General features: G+C 43.2%; 1 protein-coding gene and 1 long non-coding RNA gene across 3 annotated transcripts in view, besides 1 other annotated feature; both read right to left on the bottom strand.

The window, feature by feature from the left end:
- The window catches only part of ACYP2 (acylphosphatase 2), a 334188-nt gene that overhangs the window by 195092 nt on the left and 121497 nt on the right, over nucleotides 1-17599 (bottom strand). The gene's annotated exons all lie outside the window — the stretch shown is intronic.
- Nucleotides 1218-3906, bottom strand: LOC105374615 (uncharacterized). Its single transcript, XR_940093.1, has 2 exons — nucleotides 3868-3906; nucleotides 1218-2496 (listed from the first exon to the last, which is right to left on the bottom strand). It is a non-coding gene; the product is annotated as an uncharacterized LOC105374615 (long non-coding RNA).
- Nucleotides 14722-15417: an enhancer, noted in NCBI's record as "NANOG-H3K27ac-H3K4me1 hESC enhancer chr2:54321929-54322624 (GRCh37/hg19 assembly coordinates)". NCBI's record gives its function as "activates a minimal SCP1, AML or CMV promoter by ChIP-STARR-seq in naive H9 embryonic stem cells {active_cell/tissue: H9 hESC(naive)}" and the evidence as "EXISTENCE:reporter gene assay evidence [ECO:0000049][PMID:30033119]".

Genomic DNA, 17599 nt, shown 5'->3' with positions numbered 1-17599 from the left:
TTTTGAAGCTGGGTCTTGGGTAGATGGGGATTCATTATACTATTCTCTAATTTTGTGTGTGTTTAAAATGCTTACGTGAAGTTTAAAAATAAAATTAAAAATTGAAGAGAATATAATTTAATTCTACGAAATGCCTGACTAGTAATCCTCAAAACTGTCAAGGTCATCAGAAACAGAGAAAGCCTGAGAAGCATCTACCAGGAGCCTAAGGAGACCTGATGACTAGATGCAATGTTAGTATCCTTGGTGGGATCGTGGGACAGAAAAAGAACTTGAGGTGAAAACTGAGGACATCTGAATAAAGTACAAACTTTAGTTAATAATGAGATATTGATATTGGTTCATTAATTGCAACAAATATACCATTTATCATTAACAATGGTAGAAAATACTATTTATTAATATTAAGATATTAATAATAGGGTAACTGAATGTGGGGCATATGGGAACTCTACTATATTCACAATAATTTTTTTAATCAACAACTATTCTAAAATTAAAATTTTACTTTCTGAAAGTTTATTTTAGTATCCTATTATATGTTTTCATAATAACATTTCAAAATAATTTCTCAATGTGGTGCATGAGCAGATTCACCATTTCAGTATACAGGCATATAATTTTTTTTATTTTTAAATTTATGTTTTATCTCAATAGGTTTGGGGGAACATGTGATGTTTGGTTACATGAATAAGTTCTTTAGTGGTGATTTCTGAGATTTTGGTGCACCCATCCCTCAAGCAGTGTACGCTGTACCCAATATGCAGTTTTTTTATCCCTCACCCCCTCCCACCCTTTCCCCCGAGTATCCAAAGTCCACTGTGTCATTTTTATGCCTTTGCATCCTCATAGCTTAGCTTCCACTTATCAGTGAGAACATACGATATTTAGTTTTCTATTCCTGGGTTACTTCACTTAGAACGATAGTTTCCAGTTCCATCCAGGTTGCTGTGAATGCCATTATTTCATTTCTTTTTATGGCTGAGTAGTATTCCATGGTATATGTGCATATATATGTATACCACATTTTCTTTATCTACTCATTGATTGATGGGCGTTTGGGCTGGTTCCATATTTTTGCAATTGTGAATTGTGGGCATATAATTTAAATTTCGAGGCAACCCTGAAGTCATGCTCAGGCATAGATAGGACCAAACAGTTAACTTTCAAAGCACTAAAGCATATCTGAACTGGCATAAAGAAGAACAAGTAGATAATCAAATATACTAAAACCTTTATTAATGAAAAGAATGTATTACAGAAATAGTTCATTTCCAGAGGAAGAAATAATATAAAATGCAAAAGAATATATCTAGAAGTAAGGAAAAGTAAAGGAAAATATCATTATAATTAGCATTGAGTCCTTTAGAAAACAGGAAGTAGGCATCTGAAGGTATTGAGTGAGAAAAAGGTAAAGTTAATATTACATCAGGAGGCAACTAATCACAGATGCCACTGCTTGGACACACCAAGGAGGCAAAAAATGGCAAAGTCAGATTTTGAACAGAGTGTGCCCAGACTATGAGCTATCACAACAAGACAGGGAAGGCGAAAAAGGGCCAGCCACCAACTCGGGGGAAAAAGGGCCAGCCACCAGCTCAGACAAAAAGTAGGCAACACAGACCCCTCCCTTCCTAATATCCCCCAGGCGTGGACTTCAGCTGGTATCAGGTTTGCTTTTCCTATGGAAGCAAGGAGCCTATCCGGGGAAGAGATTCGTCCTGATTTCTTCTTAGTTCACACACACTTAAACTCCCGAAAGGGCTTGACTCAGATTTACCCGCAGGTCTGGGCTAGTGTGACAACAAGGGCCTTCGTGTCTTTAAAATAACTCATCTACTTCATGATGTCCTTGGTGAAACAGTGGATTGGTACACACATCCATTGCAATCTCTTTCTAGCTGGACTTTCTGTTTCTGTAGGGCTGGGAAGTTTAAAGCTACAAACCCTGGACATTCTTGCAATTAAGATTCCTCATGTGATAGAGTTTCCACCAGCAGAATTAAAATTGTAGATGTGGAGGGAGGGTATGAGTGAGGCAGGGGCCATCTGCTGCTGGTTCTGTGATAAGCACAGTCGCGGAGGAGTTTAGTTATTCTGTGCCATTGTTAACTGACTGTTCACTGGCTTGTGGGGCACCAAGAGGCAGGGCACAGGACATCTGTTTTACTAATTAATATCATAGCAAGCTTGGCGGGTCCCGGAGTGGCAGCTTTTTGGATGTGGCAGTTTCCAGAGCATGGCAGCTTCTGATGATGGCAGGGGATGCATTGTTTTGAATCCAGCAGCTATAGCAACAACTTCCCAATTCAGCAAATGGTTTCCTATTGCAGGATCAGTAGATCCCTTGATGGCCCAGTTCTGCAGTAAAAGTCCATCCTAAAACTTCAGCCTCAAAGTGGATCTCTATCTGATCTCAACATTTGAATTTCCAGGGGAGTTTATGCCCAAAGGTTTTGATTCATTATGTCAGCAATGGATTCCCGAATTGATATTCTAAAAAAGCAACCCAGATGCTTGTGATACGAAGCTCAGATTGAGAGTGAGTGACCAAGAGCCTCTTTCATTAGCCCTGCCAACAACTTCATAAGCCATTTAATGCCCAGTGTTAAACAATTTCTGTTTAAACTGTCTGGAATGGATTATTTTTTCAGTAACTAAACCTTGACCAGTGCAATGTCTGGGGCAAAATCTTCACAACAGGAATAGAACAAAGGTTAGGCAGAATGAAAGTTCAAATATGCCATCCCTTTCTGTCAATAGAGGAGCATTAAAATTTTCAACACTTACAAAGAGAAGAAATAAAGATTGTAACAAAAAAAAACAAGCTAAGAATAGTAACAAAACCAAGCTTAGAGCTGTTGAAAAATAAATTGCTGTTGAAAGATTATAGAATAAATAAAGGCTTAGGTAGCCTGTATTATGCAAATTAGTCACATCATGCTTATTTATTTTTACTATCTACTTGGTTTGCAGCTATATTATTTTATTTTGGAAAAAAATGATAGAATAACATTAAAAAGAACATGTCTAGCGCTCTAGTTAACCATAATTTCTGGTCTGTTGCTGCCACCTACCATCTACCCAAGGCAAGGCAGTTCCCGTGGGTAGGGTTACTCTTTCAGTCTTCAGGAAGCTAGTGCCACCTAAATGTCTTTCATTTCGGTGACACACTTCTAAAATACTTTTAGGTGCATGCTAAACCCCTAAATGACAGGCTGTTTAATTACTGTTAGTACCCTTCACTCAACAGATGACTTAAGTATTAAAGTATCTTGACCATGAATTACAATTAGATATGGATGTTATAAGAAAAGCAAAATTTGGCCGGGCATGGTGGCTCACGCTTGTAATCCCAACACTTTGGGAGGCCGAGGGGGGGCGGATCACGAGGTCAGGACTTCAAGACCAGCCTGGCCAACACAGTGAAACCCCGTCTCTACTAAAACATACAAAAATTAGCCGGGCTTGGTGGCAGGCACCTATAATCCCAGCTACTCAGGAGGCAGATGCAGGAGAATCGCTTGAACCCAGGAGGCAGAGGTTGCAGTGAGCCGAGATCATGCCATTGTAGCCTCCAGCCTGGGCAACAAGAGCAAGACTCCATCTCAAAAATTTGTCTGGTAAATGTTAGTTGAACTCTTATTATATGAGACATTATGTTGACAGCATATGCATCTACTATATCCTTTAAAATTAGCTTTTCATAAAGACTGTGTGTCTCAGAGATCTCTTGTTAAGTAAATAAGATGGTTTTTACGTGGACATAGGAAGCTTTTTGCAGTATAAAAATATTTCACCTAGAATTATTTACTTTTCATCCTTACTCATAAAATCTGATATTTGTCTGGGAACGGTGGTTCACACCTGTAATCTCTGTGCTTTGGGAGACCAAGGCGGGAGGATCACTTGAGGCCAGCCTGGGCAACCCATCTCTACAAATAAAATAATAATAATAATTTTAAAAATTAAAAAAATTAAATCTTACCTTTAAAAGGTTGATAATAGTGATGAATGCAGTACAGTGTCAATAATTCAGCACTGAAAAACATTTTGCTGATTGACTATATGTGATTTCCTTTTGAGTCCATGAATAGTACATTAACTTACATTTGCAGTGGCATTTTATGATTATTATGACACTTTTATATACCAACTTCCATTTTATATTTACAGGTACAGAACTAAGTAGGACAGGTACTATACTTTAAAGACAAAGAAATAGTCTTAGAACATTTAAAGGATTGAACCCCATCTAGAATCCGGCCTTTTGCGGAAAAATTCAGTGTTCTTTCCACTCTGCCACACTGCCTTCAACAGTCTTTCATTCACTCATTCAACAGATGTTTACTGAATACCCAGTATGTGCCATGTGTAGGTGCTGGGGAGAAGGTGATGTTTTATTTATTAATAGGGTCCAGGCGCAATGGCTCATGCCTGTAATCTCAGCAATTTGGGGGCCTGAGGCAGGAGGATCGCTTGAGCCCAGGAGTTAGAGACCAGCCCGGGCAACATGGCAAAACCCTTCTCCACAAAAAATACAAAAATTAGCCAGACATGGTGGTTTGGCTGTAGTTCCAGCTACTCGGGAGGCTGCACCTGTAGTCCCAGCTACTTGGGAGGCTGAGGTGGGAGAATCACTTGAGCTAGGGAGGTAAGCCATGATCATGCCACTGTACTCTAGCCTGGGCAATAAAACGAGACCCTGCCTCAAAAATAAATAAATAAATAAATTTAAAAAATTTAGAGATGGGGGTAGATTAGGGCTTAGAGAGGTTGTCTGGGAAGGTCTCTGGGGAAGTGATCGCTGAAGAATGGATAAGAAGAAACCAAGAAGAAAGGTGGGAGAACTTAATCCACGCAGAGGGAATAGCATGTAGAAAGCTCGAGTTTCCCAAGTAGGAGAAACTGAAAGAAGCCCAGTGTGGCTGCTGCATTATAAAATATGAGATGGTGGCATTAAATACAGCTTTCAGTCAAGGCAAGGAGAAAGGTCATGCCAGGCTGTGGAAGCCACGGTGGAGTCTGGTTCCTGTTCCAAGTACAGTGGGAAGCCGGGGAAGAGTGCTCAGGCTCTATGTTGCATGCTGCAAATCAGAAGTTTTCCTGGGGGGAAATTTCCTGAATTGTTTTCAACAAAATAGTATTCAAAAAACATCTGAATATTTCCCCAAAAATATCTTCCAGAGACCACTAGATAGTTTGCTAACAATTGTGTAGGCTTCGAAGGGAATACCTGAATTATACCCCATGCCTCAGCTTGTAACACAGTGTTACACTGTGGACACAGTTATCCTCTAAGACCTGACTAGACCCCACTTTTTGTGCAATCCCCTATCAGCCTTTTTTGTCTAGTTGCACATTATGTTCACTTGGGGAACTTGGGGAGTGTTCTTCCCATCTCCAGAAATTTTAATGTAATTAATATGGTGCTGGGCCAGCCATCAGCAGTTGTTAAAAAGCTTCTCAGGTAGTTCTACTGTTTAGCCAGGGTTGAGGATTGCTGATCTGAGGGATTGTGATAAATGACTTTTATGTAATACTTTCTCATTGTCAAAGTGATTTTTGTCAAGTGTAGAATACTCAGACTAACATAAGACTAAAACAGTAGCCTGTAAGGTGACTGTTTATTTGGTGTATCACTCAGGCTCCAGAGTTCTGTATCTAGCAGTTTGGTAAAATCTAACTACATCAAAAATGTCTACTTAACAAAACCTGGAAAAGTTCTTTACAAAGGTGACAAAAGGACTTGAGCTACATGACTAAGCTTGCCCTTTTATGGTTATCCATTTTACTACACACCAATTTTAAAATAAATATATAATACACTATAATACCAAAGGTACATAGTGGGAGGCTCTGATAATTTCCACTTCTTCCTCATGAAGGAATTTATGAACACTTAGTCATTATAATCAAAGAATACTTTCTTTTCTCATCCTATCTTGATTCTGTTCTCCAAGACTACTGATCATCATCCATGCATCAATGTACTCTTGTCCCACACCAGGCAGCATCAGTATATATCTCCCATCAGAATCCTAATTCTACATGCCAGATGTTCTTAATCTGTACATTTGGAACAGCTCGAAGTTCATTTTAAGTACCAAGTCTCTACCGCCAATAGAGGCAGTACCCACAGTTACACTCAGGAAAATACTGGCTGCCTGCTTTCTTGTTCAACCTGGGGCTGGCTTTGGTCTGTTTAGCTTAGCCTTGCAGCACTCTCTCTAACCTGCAGGATCTGACTGGCATCTGTATTCAGTGTAGCTGCAGGCATTTCCTCTGCCTGCTGCATGACCTGGCCGGCTAGGGCAAAGGGTGGGGAAGGGGAGGGGCTTATTCTGCTCTATTTGGCTACAGAGCAACATCAAGCTGCATATGAATCACTCATAGTACTCCCTGTGGGATACCATTAAAGATCCTCTGATATTTAATGCTCAGAACACTATTCTCTAATATTTCCTATTCACTTTCTTGAGCTCTATATTTTCAAATAAATAAATCATATTTCATAGTCATAAACATGTTAGAAGAATAGGAAGAAAATCAATGGCCCATTTTACAGATGAGAAAACTGGGCCACAGAAGTTAAATCAGAGTAATAACTAAGCCATACAACTATTTAGTGTTTAGAATGAGGATGAGTAAAAGCATAATACCCATTGCATGGATCTATGTGTAATTTAAAACAGTAATCTTGAATAAAAATGTAAATAACAAAGTTAGGAAGCAAATGACAAACTGGAAAAAAAACATTTCCAGCATGCAAAACTGAAAGGAATTAAGACCAAGGTTAAGATGTTAGGAACACCTTAAAAGCACTGTCCTAACAGCAAAATGGACAGATAACTCATAAAAACCCAAATGCAAATGATCAACAGATATCTGAAATAATGTTTATGAATGAATGTGAAATAAAACAATGATGTGGTGGACATGTGTTGCTTTTATCTATGCATTATTCCTTCTCCCCAACTTTTGATAGAAAACTTCTTTCTCACACACTCCAACATGTGGTTGTGGGAGAGCTGATGATACTTGTAATATAAATTTTTTCTTTTGCTGGCACAGTATCCACTCTTTTTTTGTCTTTTACAAACCCTCTTTCTCCCCTATTAGTCCTTGTGATTTTAGGGGAGCTAATGCCTTCCCTTACCCTTGTGCAGGGGTGGCATATAACCCAATCCTAACTCATCAGATTTTTTTATACCTCTGCTACAATGAGAGGTAGGGATGGACACAATTTGGAAACCAGGCCAACCAAAGTCTTCCTTCCTCAGAACCTTTGTGGGACCCATTAGAAATGAGGTATTCCCTTTGAGACCCATGAGACTGCTGAATCATTTAACCCTGGAGCTATCAGGAATCATTTTGCCAACAGGCAAGAGAGAAAGCCTGCCTCAGAATGAAGCCAACAAAGAGGAGAGCAGGGCAAAAGATAAAAAGCAAGTCCTGATGATATTGTTTGAGCCCCTGTTCCTGAAAGAAGAACTCTCAACTAGACTTCTCAGTTGCATGAGCCAATATATTCTTTTTTTTTTTTTTTTTTTTTTTTTTTTTTTTTTTTGGCTTAAGCCAGCTTAAATTGGGTTTCTATCATGGCACTTAAATGAGCTCTGATTAATGTAGGATTAAATCAGAGACAACAAAGATGTCTCGTTCCTCTAGACCTCCTTAGCTAAGATGATATAAGCCTAGACCTCCTTGCAACCATGCCTCCCTCCTTAGAAAAAAGTGTCTGCAATAGAAGAGGAATGAGGGATAGCACTTTCTGTGACATCATTTGAGTTCTTGAATCAATCAACCCTGAGGCCAGCACCCAGATGCATGAGGCAATAAATCTCATTATTTGCTTAAGCTGGTCTCTAACAAGTGTCTCTCATTGTAACAATGTCATCAGCTCATTGTACAGAGTTCCAAAACAATTATATCTTACTTGTATTTGTCCTAATATAAATGAGATATCAATTTTCCTAACATTAAAAATAGTAATACCCAGTGTTATTGATGATATGCTGAAACAGACTCTCACGCACTGCTGGCGTTTGGATACAAACATTTTGTAAAGCAATTTGACTATAGTCCTCAAAAGCCTTAAAAATTATATACATTTGAGGGAGGGATGAATAGGTGAGGCACAGGGGATTTTTTGGGCAGAGGAACTATTCTGTATAATACTATAATGGTGAATACATGACATTACACATAGTCAAAACCCACAGAGCTGTAATACAAAGAGTGAACCCTAATGTAAACTGTGGACTTTAGTTAATAAAGTGTCAATATCCATTAATCTATTGTAACTACAAATGTATCACACTAATCCAAAATGTTAATAAGAAGTGAAAATATGTCGGAGGGGGATGTATATGAGAGCCCTCTGTACTTTCTGCTTCATTTTTCCGTTAAGCTAAAACTGCTCTAAGACATAAAACACACTAATTTTAAAAAGGAGAAAGGGAGGAAAGAAAGAAAGAAGGAAGGAAAGATAGATTACACACACTTCACCTGGCAGTTTTTTTTTTTTTTTTTTTGAGACAGTCTCCCTCTGTAACCCAAGCTGGATTGCAATGGCGCAATCTTGGCTCACTGCAAACTCTGCCTCCCAGGTTCAAGCGATTCTACAGCCTCAGCCTCCTGAGTAGCTGGAATTGGATTACAGGCGCGCTCCACCATACCCAGCTAATTTTGGTATTTTTAGTAGAGACGGGGTTTCACCATGTTGGTCAGGCTGCTCTCAAACTCCTGACCTCGTGATCTGCTCACCTCAGCCTCCCAAAGTGCTGGGATTACAGGCGTGAGCCACCGCGCCCGGCCCCTGGCAGTTCTTAAGTTATAAATCTCTCCCAAGGGGAAGAAAATAGGCAAGAATGCAAAGATATAAACAAAACAACTGTCATGAAGTTGTTTATTACAGTAAAAAAAAAGAATTGGAAGTACTCAAATATCCATCAACTTAAATAAAATTAAATAAATGATGATTCACATGCAGTCTTGGAGGATGATAATGTTGATCAAGGGTTCTTCCCTACAGGCCAGGACTGAGCTGCAGGGGTTCAAATGCAGCTCTCTCACAGGGCTATTGATGGATTCTTTGAGGCTCCGTGGGGTCCTCCGACCACAGCTCCCTGTTGTGGTGAGCACTATGGGGGCAACTAGTGGTACCCTCAGCTGCTAACTGCTGGCATTCCCTTGCCCTGGCAGGCCACCCTCTTTGGTGGATTATTTCCAAGAAGGCTTAGCCCAAGTACCTTGAATTGCTTAAAAACCTTCAAGAGTCTCCTAGCACCTACAAAGTCCACATTTCTTGGCATGATATTCAAGACATTTTATTAAGTGCTTGAGTTGACTGTTCCAGCCTCATTTCCCATTCATAGAAGAGTAGTTTTAGTTTTTTGAAAATACCAGGTACTTTCCTCTACCATTATTCAAAAAATAGAAAATAGTTCCCTGTGAATCGGCTGAGGCATGAATGGTCAATTCAAACTACAGTTTTAAATATCTTAAATACTATTCCTGACATGGACCAAATAGGAAACGAGTTAAAATGTGGCATGATTTTGTACAATTGGTAGAGTATTAAAAAAGGAGGATCTCGGGTGGGTGTGGTGACTCGTCCCTATAATCCCAGAACTTTGGGAAAGTGAGGCAGGATGATCTCTCCAGCCCAGGAGTTCAAGGCCAGCCTGGGCAACAGAGGGAGACCATATCTCTAAAAAAAAAAATCTTTTTTTAATTAGCCAGGTGTGGTGGGGCACAGCTGTGGTCCCAGCTACTTGCAAGGCTGAGATTAGAGGATCACTTGGGCCGCAGAGGTTGAGGCTTCAGTGAGCCGTGATCATGCCACTCCACTTCAGCCTAGGCAACAGAGCAAGACTTTGTCTCAAAAAAAAAAAAAAAAAGGAAGTATATATTTTAACATAAAACTAGAAACATTCTTTGACTGGCATAGGAGTTCTAACACTGACCCTACAAAGTGGAAAGAAAAGAGTAGTTTTTGGCTATACAGTGAACTAAATCTGGAAAGTCAAAACATGTAAATGTTCATTTATTATTTTTTACAATTTTGGAATAAATTCACAAACTACAGAAGACTAAATTGTGATTACAGAAAAGAGTATGTGATACACCTGGAAGACTTAAATTTGCATTTAACAGAAGTAAAAGAGAAGAACAGGGAAATGCAAATTAAAACCACAAGGAGATACCGCCTCACACCTGTTAGAATGGCTGTGATGAAAAAGATAAACGATAGTGTTGGCGAGGGTGTGGAGAAAAGGGAACATTGCGCATTGTTGGTGGGAGTGTACATTAGTATAACCATTATGGAAAACTGTATGTAGGTTTCTCAAGCAATTAAAAATAGAACTGCCACATTATCCAGCAATTCCTGGATACGTATCCTAAGGATATAAAATCAGTATGTTGAAGAGATATCTGCATTCCCAAGTTCACTGCAACATTTTCACAGTAGTCAAGATATGGAGCTAAAAAAAATAAATAAAAGATATGGACCTGAGTGTCCATCAGTGGATGAATGGATAAAAAAAAAATTGCTTTATAAACATAATGGAACAGTGTTAACAAAGAAGGAAATCCTGTGATTCGTGACAACATGGATGAATCTGAGGACATCGTGTTGCACAAAATAAGCCAGGCACAGAAAGACAAATATCGCATGATCTCACCCATATGTGGAATCTAAAAACACTGATCTCATAGAAGCAGAGAGTAGAATGGTGGGGACCAGGGTCTGGGGGTGGGAGTGGAGACTGGGGAGACGCTGGTCAAAGGACAAGAAATTTTAGCTAGACAGAAGAAATGAGTTCAAAAGATCTACGGTATAGCATGGTGACTATAGTTAATAACAACATGTTGTATACTTGGAAAATTGCTAAGAGAGTAGATTCGAAGTGTTCTCACCACACAAAAGTAAGTATTTGAGGTAATGCATACGTTAATTAGCTTGATTTGGCCATTCTGCAACATATACATATTTCAAAACATATTTGTACACCATAAATGTATACAATTTTTATTTGCCAATTAAAAAATAAACAAGAAACAGTTAAAAAGAAAAAAGGAACAGCAGGTGAAGGGAACCATCCAAGCACAAACATCCTCAACTCTTGGTTGATGGAACACCAAATAGAGGTTCTAAGATATTGTCTGCAATCAGCTGGGCACAGTGGCTCATACCTGTAATCCCAGTGCTTTGGGAGGCTGAGACAGGAAGATCTGTTGAGCTCAGGAGTTTGAGACCAAGCCTGGGCAACATAGCAAGACCTCATCTCTACAAAAATTTTAAAAATTAACCTAGTGTATTGGTGCATGCCTGTAGTTCCAGCTACTCAGAAGGCTGAGGCAGAAGAATCACTTGAGCCTGGGAGATTGAGGCTGCAGTGAGCTATGATCACATCACTGCACTCCAGCCTGGTGACAGAGTGAGACCCTGTCTTTAGAAAAAAAAAAAAAAAAAGGGACATTGTCTGAAATCAGAGAGGACCAGCACAGTAGCAGAGGTTAGTGACCAAATTATGTTGGGAGAAGGGAGGCAGGACAAGCAAGCTAAATTTGCATCCATCTTGGTATCTAAATCAAGTAACAACATATTTGGAGATATCAAGCTAATCACAAAAAGAACTAAAAGCAGAAACTGTTCAAAGAAGTTGCCTCGGGAGAACAAGTTAAAGGACACTATGAGAAAGCAATCAGTCAAATCCAGAATATAGGACATTCCATGGGACAACTGCCCTCGTTTCTCTAATGAATCAATGGCAGGGAGAGGAAATGAGTTATAGAAAAAAGGACATTCAGGAGACAATGAAACAATCAAATTCAACGTGGGCCCTTCATTGGGGGATCCTTTGTTAGAACTTTGAGACAATCAGAAAAATTTAATAATGAACTGGATATAAGATGATGTTAAGAAATTGTGGCCAGGTGCAGTGGCTCATGCCTATAATCTCAGCACTTTGGGAGGCTGAGGCAGGTGGATCTCCTAAGGTCAGGAGCTCAAGACCAGCCTGGCCAACATGGCAAAACCCTGACTCTACTAAAAATAATTTTTAAAAAATTAGCCAGTCATGATAGCACGTGCCTATAATACCAGCTACTGGGGAGGCTGAGGCAGGAGAATTGCTTGAACCTGGGAAGTGGAGATTGCAGTGAGCTAAGATCACACCACTGCACTCCAGCCTGGGTGACAGAGGGAGACTCCACCTCAAAAAAAAAAAAAAAGGAAGGAAGGAGAGAAAGAAACAAGGGAAGGAGGGGGAGGAAGAAAGAAGAAAGAAAGGAAGGAAGGAGGGAGGGAGGGGAGAGAGAGAGAGAGAAAGAGAAAGAAAGAAAGAAGAAAATAAAAGAAATTGTTAATTCATTAGGTATAATAATAGCATGGTGGTTAGAGTTAAAAATATCTTTTGCAGTTATAGATACAGGGAAGCATTTCTAGCTAAAATAACATGACGTCTCAGATTTGCTTTAAAATGCTCCAAAACCACCCCTTCCTCCCCCGAGAATAAAGAGGGACAGAGAAACAAGGCTGGCCAAATGTTGCAAATTGTGGAAGCTGTGTAATAGATTCCTAGGGTTCACCATACCTTTCCCTCCTTTCATGTATGCTTGAAAATTTCCAAAATATTATAACAGTGTGAGAACAAAAATTAGATTTAAAAAATCCAAAATAATACACTGTTGTTGTGTTGTTATTGTCATTTTTTGTAACCAGGTGCCTCTGAGGAATGGGATAGGATTTGGGGAACAGTGGTGCTGGCAAGCTTTTCATAGTTTTCATTTATTCAATGAATACTTACTGAGTCCTGCAATGCATGAGACACTGTGTAGACACTTTAGGGAAATGAAGAGAACAGATCAAAGTCCCTGTCCTCATGGAGCTCACATTCCCATCAGGGGAAAGAGACAACAAACCATAGACATAGTAAGTTATAATATGTAGAAGTGGGTAAGTGCTGTGAGGAAATAAGTGGGTTAAGAAGGACCAGGAGTGGGGCCAGAGCTGTAGTTTTAAATAGCAAGTGCAGGGAAGAGCTCATTGAAAAAGGTAACCTTGGAACAGAGACTCGGAGGAGGTGAAAGATATTATAAACCCTTTTGAATTATTGCTTTTTAATTATGTTCATGGATTACTTTGCTAAAAATAATTGAAAAAGATTCCTTTAAAATAAAATATTTCAGGCTGGATGTGGGGGCTCATGCCTGTAAGGCTAGCACTTTGAGAGGCTGAGGCAAGAGGATTGCTTGAGGTCAAGAGTTCAAGACCAACCTGGCCAACATAGCAAGACCCCGTCTCTATTTTTAAAAAACAGATTAGCTCCCCCTCCCCCTCTCCCTCTCCCCACGGTCTCCCTCTCCCTCTCTTTCCACGGTCTCCCTCTGATGCCGAGCCAAGGCTGGACTGTACTGCTGCCATCTCAGCTCACTGCAACCTCCCTGCCTGATTCTCCTGCCTCAGCCTGCCGAGTGCCTGTGATTGCAGGCGCGCGCCGCCACACCTGACTGGTTTTCGTATTTTTTTGGTGGAGACGGGGTTTCGCTGTGTTGGCCGGGCTGGTCTCCAGCTCCTAACCGCGAGGGATCCGCCAGCCTCGGCCTCCCGAGGTGCCGGGATTGCAGATGGAGTCTGGTTCACTCAGTGCTCAGTGGTGCCCAGGCTGGAGTGCAGTGGCGTGATCTTGGCTCGCTACAACCTCCACCTCCCAGCCGCCTGCCTTGGCCTCCCAAAGTGCCGAGAGTACAGCCTCTGCCAGGCCGCCACCCCGTCTGGGAAGTGAGGAGCATCTCTGCCTGGCCATCCATCGTCTGGGACGTGAGGAGCCCCTCTGCCTGGCTGCCCAGTCTGGAAAGTGAGGAGCGTCTCTGCCCGGCCGCCATCCCATCTAGGAAGTGAGGAGCGTCTCTGCCCGGCCACCCATCGTCTGAGATGTGGGGAGCGCCTCTGCTCCGCCGCCCCGTCTGGGAGGTGAGGAGCGTCTCTGCCCGGCCGCCCCGTCTGAGAAGTGAGGAGCCCCTCCACCCGGCAGCCGCCCCGTCCGAGAAGTGAGGAGCCCCTCCGCCCAGCAGCCACCCCGTCTGGGAAGTGAGGAGCGTCTCCGCCCCGCAGCCACCCCGTCCGGGAGGGAGGTGGGGGTCAGCCCCCCGCCCGGCCAGCCGCCCCGTCCGGGAGGGAGGTGGGGGGGTCAGCCCCCGCCCGGCCAGCCGCCCCATCCGGAGGAGGTGGGGGGGTCAGCCCCGCCCGGCCAGCCGCCCCATCCGGGAGGAGGTGGGGGCCAGCCCCCCGCCCGGCCAGCCGCCCCGTCCGGAGGTGAGGGGCACCTCTGCCCGGCCGCCCCTACTGGGAAGTGAGGAGCCCCTCTGCCCGGCCAGCCGCCCCGTCCGGGAGGGAGGTGGGAGGGTCAACCCCCTGCCCGGCCAGCCGCCCCGTCCGGGAGGTGAGGGGCGCCTCTGCCCGGCCGCCCCTACTGGGAAGTGAGGAGCCCCTCTGCCCGGCCAGCCGCCCCGTCCAGGAGGGAGGTGGGGGGGTCAGCCCCCCGCGCGGCCAGCCGCCCCATCTGGGAGGGAGGTGGGGGGGTCAGCCCCCCACTCGGCCAGCCGCCCCGTCCGGGAGGGAGGTGGTGGGGTCAGCCCCCCGCCCAGCCAGCTGCCCCGTCCGGGAGGGAGGTGGGGGGGTCAGCCCCCCGCCCAGCCAGCCGCCCCGTCCGGGAGGTGAGGGGCGCCTCTGCCCGGCCGCCCCTACTGGGAAGTGAGGAGCCCCTCTGCCCGGCCACCACCCCGTCTGGGAGGTGTGTCCAACAGCTCCTTGAGAACGGGCCAGGATGACAATGGCGGTTTGGTGGAATAGAAGTGGGGGAAAGGTGGGGAAAAGATTGAGAAATCGGATGGTTGCCGTGTCTGTGTAGAAAGAAGTAGACATGGGAGACTTCGTTTTGTTCTGTACTAAGAAAAATTATTTTGCCTTGGGATCCTGTTGATCTGTGACCTTACCCCCAACCCTGTGCTCTCTGAAACATGTGCTGTGTCCACTCAGGGTTAAATGGATTAAGGGCGGTGCAAGATGTGCTTTGTTAAACAGATGCTTGAAGGCAGCATGCTCGTTAAGAGTCATCACCACTCCCTAATCTCAAGTACCCAGGGACACAAACACCGCGGAAGGCCGCAGGGTCCTCTGCCTAGGAAAACCAGAGACCTTTGTTCACTTGTTTATCTGCTGACCTTCCCTCCACTATTGTCCTATGACCCTGCCAAATCCCCCTCTGTGAGAAACACCCAAGAATGATCAATTAAAAAAAAAAAGGAAGTTTAAAAAAAAACAGATTAAAAAATAATAATAAAATACAATAAAATATTTTGCCTGGCCATGGTGGCTCACACCTGTAATCCCAGCATTTTGGGAGACTGAGGTGGGCGGATCACTTGAGGCCAGAAGTTTGAGACCAGTCAGGCCAACGTGGTGAAACACCATCTCCACAAAAAATACAAAAATTAGCTGGGCGTGGTGGCACATGCCTGTAGTCCTGGCTACTTGGGAGGCTGAGGTGGGAGGATTGGTTGAGCACAGGAGGAAGAGGCTGCAGTGAGCCGAGATGGTGCCACTGCCTTCCAGCCTGGGCGATAGAGCAAGACAATGTCTCAAACACACACACACACACACACAACTGGGCCGGGCATGGTGGCTCACACCTGTAATCCCAGCACTTTGGGAGGCCGAGGTGGGTAGATCACCTGAGGTCAGGAGTTCGAGACCAGCCTGGCAAACATGTGAAACCCCGTCTCTACTAAAAATACAAAAAAATTAGCTAGGCATGGTGGCACATGCCTCTAATCCAAGCTATTTGGTAGGCTGAGGCAGGAGAATTGCTTGAACCTGGGAGGCGAAGTTTGCAGTGAGCCGAGATGGCACCACTGCACTCCAGCCTGGGCAACAGAGTAAGACTCTGTCTCAAAAAAAAAAAAAAAATTTTTTTTCTCCCCACCATGTCTTCTTCTCTGCCTACCAAAATCTTCCTTTCTTTTGCAAGCCAACCATGAGTGATCCTGCCTTCATGAGGCCTTTTTCATCCACAGCCAGAATTAACCACTTTTTTGTAGTTTTTGTACATTGCCAGTATCTCTAACATGTACTTCATTCTCCTAAGTAGGACAGCTCTTCATAGCTTTACTAAGCATTTTACTTTTCATTATTTTATTTACACTTCACAATGATACTGAGTGGGTTTGTTTGTTTGTTTGTTTGTTTGTTTGTTTTTTGAGACAGAGTCTCGTTCTGTCACCCAGGCTGGAGTGCACTGGCATGATCTCAGCTCACTGCAAGCTCTGCCTCCCAGGTTCATGTCATTCTCCTGCCTCAGCCTCCGGAGTAGCTGGGACTACAGGCGCCCACGACCACGCCCGGCTAATTTTTTGTATTTTTAGTAGAGACGGGTTTTCACCGTGTTAGCCAGGATGGTCTTGATCTCCTGACCTCGTGATCCACCCGCCTCGGCCTCCCGAAGTGCTGGAATTACAGGCGTGAGCCACCACGCCCGGCCAAGTGGTTTTTATTTAATATCATTGTTATTCCCACTTGACAGATGAGAAAACTAAGTCTCTAAAAGAGGAAGTGACCTGTACCCAGACACAGAAACAGCACCTGAATTCTAGGCCACATCCTCTGAATCAAACATTATTACTTCTCTCTGCCTCACTCACTACCTCTTTATCATTAGTTGTTTCCAAAAGTCTTGTTTTAATGTTAAAATTAGATTTGAGTCAAAGTACTATTTGCATACGATATTAATTTCGGTAGTTGAGAAAATCTTAGAAGGAAAAGCAAATCTCCCACCTAATCAATCTGCAGTCACATTTTGCAGAGACAATATTCTTTTCAATATTTCTACTTTTAGTTCTTCCGGCAGTTGTCTGTGTAACTCTAGAGAATATGCTTACACCTTTACATATTGATTTTTATCACCCTTAGATATTATCTGCTGACTTCCTCCTGTGAAGGGGGAGGACTTAGCTCATTTGCATTGCCCTAATGTCTTAGGTTAGGTTCCCTGGGAAACTGACTCTCAGGCAGAGACTTACATGTAGGAGGCACACAACTCTGGAGCAGTGAAGGCAGCAGAATTGAGCTGCAGGAGGAGTTTACCTGCTGTGCAGTCGACAATAGAAGCCTCAGCCCAACCAGTGGGAGCTCAGAGCTCACTTCAGAGTTGTCTACTCTGAACGATTGTACCCCACCATCAATGGGTCGTTGGATGCAGCCTGGGGCACATAAACTTAGAAAGCCAACTCTCTTTGGCTGAGGACAATTCTAAAAGAACTCAAGGTAGGTTGTCAAGCAGCCAGTACTTCTGGCAGCCAGAGAATGAACATCATGGTCCTAAAGTGGGGATCTGAGCAGAGCACCATGGCATGCATCACTGTACACCCTCTATGTCACTGGAACCCACCTGCTTCTATAGTAAGTTCACCCCATTTGAAATTAGCTACCCTGGATTTCTGGTTGGTTCCATTAGGAGAACCTTACTAGAATGTCAGGGGGCCAAGTTACAGTCTTTCCCTCTGTAGCTGCTCTCAAAGCCACTTCTGAGAC

Source organism: Homo sapiens, chromosome 2, assembly GCF_000001405.40.
Source record: "Homo sapiens chromosome 2, GRCh38.p14 Primary Assembly".
In the NCBI taxonomy this organism is placed as follows: Eukaryota; Metazoa; Chordata; class Mammalia; order Primates; family Hominidae; genus Homo; species Homo sapiens.
This window is presented reverse-complemented; position numbering and strand designations above follow the sequence as displayed.